The 2,902-nt window shown below is 41.9% G+C and overlaps 2 pseudogenes; both read left to right on the top strand.

Annotated features, from left to right (window-relative positions):
• Nucleotides 1–1,701: 1,701 nt before the first annotated feature.
• Nucleotides 1,702–1,788, top strand: LOC124900926 (uncharacterized; annotated as a pseudogene).
• Nucleotides 1,789–2,130: 342 nt separating this feature from the next.
• Nucleotides 2,131–2,266, top strand: LOC124900924 (uncharacterized; annotated as a pseudogene).
• The last annotated feature ends 636 nt before the right edge of the window (nt 2,267–2,902 follow it).

The raw sequence follows: 2,902 nt of genomic DNA, 5'->3' as shown, positions 1-2,902 counted from the left end.
ACGCCCAAACAAAAGTTCGCCAGTTCAGAGGGAAAAGGAGTAGACTTTGAAATCAGTGTTTAATGAATCACTCAACAATGTTGAATTTCTCTAGCGTAAGGTACATACAGAGAATTAAAGCAGTAGTAAGATAGCCTGAATTTGGTATTGTGAGCTTTTTGAGTTAGTGGTAGAAACAGTATTATTTTTATAACTACAGTTACACTTGTTTCTATAGGCCTGTTCTTGAAATTTATCCTAGCGGCTAGGAATTCATACTTAAAATGTTTTCATACAGACAATTCCAACTTAAAGCAAATTCTATTTCAAAGTTTCATTTGAAACTCAAAACTCTACAGAGGCAATGCTATGGCTAGTGATCAGGGCCCTGAGGCCAGTTCACTAAAGCCTAATACTAAAAAAGAATTACAAAACAATAAACTACCATCTACAATGAAATTCTTGTAACAAAAAGTGTCTTAAAGGGAATGATGGAAGGGCCTGGAAGCAGCAAGAAACAGACACATTTTCTGAGTTGTAAGAAAGAAAGGTGGGGTGTAGTATAGGCAAAATTATCTTCTTCTCTCCCATCTCATTCTGTCCCCAATTTTAGGCATAACTATTTTATTTGACTGTTCTTGGCATTCCCTTGAGCACTTTATACAGCCTTCTACTGGCATTTACCTCAATATTTTAATACCTTATTTAAATGTCTGCCTTTTTATGCACTCAGTACCCAGCATCTTTCTAAAGCATTTTATGTATTAAATATACCCCGATAAAAGAATGAGTGAATAAATGAAGACATCAATAAAAAGAGCTCATTACCCTGGAGGAACTACCCTGGTCCTCTTGGCACTTCAGAAATGGCACCTAGAATTTCATCAATGTCTTCCTTAGAATGAAAAATTGAAAGCTGACGAGACACATTTTTTTCAGACCACTTACTAACTTCAATTTTCTACAGGGCTATTTTGCTTCTTCTCTGAGTTTATATCAGACATATAAGGATGGCAGCCCAAGGACCAGTGAGAATCCCACCTCTGTCCCTCCTGCTGCCAAGACAGTGGCAGTGTAGAAACAGAGCAATTCTAGAAATCCAAGAGCTGAGATTTTTCACAATGAACCATTTTCCTGGTACAAGTGCACATTTTTAAGCTTTACCAGCTCCCGGCCCCATTCTGATGATACATACAGGGTGCATGCCACTGCAGCTACAATGACTTTAGGTTCAAGGTGAAACCTTTAAAGGACAATCTAAAAATTTCTCCATGTTACCACATTTAATACTGTTTCAACATATATATGGTTCTTATTCTTCTATCCCAAAACTCAGCTGGAGTTGCCTCTCTTTTAAAATTCAAACAAGTGTAGTCTAAACTCCTACACCATTCCCTTCCCTACTCCCAGAGAAAATTTTCTGCCCTCTCAATTTCACTTGAAATTCTTTAGAAGGAGGGAGAAGAGCACTTCTATTTACAAATATTATATACTCTTACTTGGTTCTGGCTTCAAGTTATTTTGATCTCCATTAGCTGGGTTGAGAGATCCTTTCGTTGTGTACTTCACATGAGTCCAACCACCACTTCCTTCCCTACATGAAATACCAACAAACTGAAGACTGGGTATAGGTCAGACTTTTACTACATTGTGGGAAGGGACAGGACTATGTTGCAGTGTCCAGGAGGCTAAATTAAAAACTGGATATAAGATGCCTATACCAAGACTCTACTTTCAGGGATCACTTCTATAGTCCATCCCTAGAGAAGTTTCTCTGAAAGTGTAGAGCAGCAGTCCCCAGTCCCTGGGCAGCTGACCAGTACAGGTCCGTGGCTTGTTAGGAATCGGGCCACACAGCACGAGGTGAACAGCAGGTGAGCCAGCATTACCGCCTGAGCTCTGCCTCCTGTCAGATCAGCTGTACCATTAGATTCTCAGAAGGGCGTGAAGTGTATTGTGAATGGTGCATGCCAGGGATCTAGGTTGCACGTTCCTTATGAGAATCGAATGCCTCATGATCTGAGGTGGAACAGTTTCATCCTGAAACCAGCCCCCCAACCCAACCTGTAGAAAAATTGTCTTCCACAAAAATAGTCCCTGGTGCCAAAAAGGTTGGGGACTGCTGAAGAGCACCGGAAACCAGGAGGAGGAGCGAGGAGGAGGCACAGGGTTCTCCCCTGAGAGCCAGGCCAGCTCTTAGTGTTGCTTCGCTGCAGGTGCCATTTGGCATTGAGGATTGTTTTTCTCTTCCTCCGGCAAAGTAAGAGGGAGAGGACACAGTCTGAGTGGTTCCCGTTTTAACATTGAAAAAAAAAAGAGTTTGAATGTTTTTAAAGATGCTCGTACTGTAAATACCCCTCACTATGCCCACTTCCTCAGCTCACTGCACTCGCCATGTACATTCTTGGCTTTCTCGCTACAGCTGAGCTTCTTTACCCAGTCCAGTCCCCGGCAACCTCCAAATTCTTGTTTTATTGATAAAGTCAGTTTAGATTTTTTTTTCTCATTCCTACACTTTCCAAGTCTTTCCCTGGTGTTTGTCTTTCATTCACAGTCAAAAAACTCATCTATTCCAAAGAGGAATTCTGAGACTTCCTTAGGATTCAGAAGTGGCTACAGGCTGCTGTGATTTCAAATAGCAAATTGTTTTTCCTGCACACAAAGATTAGCTGAGTACAACAGACAACTCTTAAGGGGTTCCCCTGTCACCAGGCTTCCACCCTGCTAGGAATTTCTGTACACCTGGGAGCACTGGGCAGCCATGTGATTCTCCCCCGACCCCGCCAACTGCTCATAGGTCCTCAAGAGAACACCTAATCGAAGCTGGAGGAACCCAATTTTCTCTCCCAGGAATTGGTATCAGGAATTAAACACCGGGACCTGAAATCAGAGACAAAGTCACATTAAGGACAGCACTCAGAGA

Source organism: Homo sapiens, chromosome 4 (assembly GCF_000001405.40).
Source record: "Homo sapiens chromosome 4, GRCh38.p14 Primary Assembly".
Taxonomy (NCBI): domain Eukaryota; kingdom Metazoa; phylum Chordata; class Mammalia; order Primates; family Hominidae; genus Homo; species Homo sapiens.
Note: the sequence above shows the minus strand (reverse complement) of the source record. Positions and strands in the feature narration are given on the sequence as shown.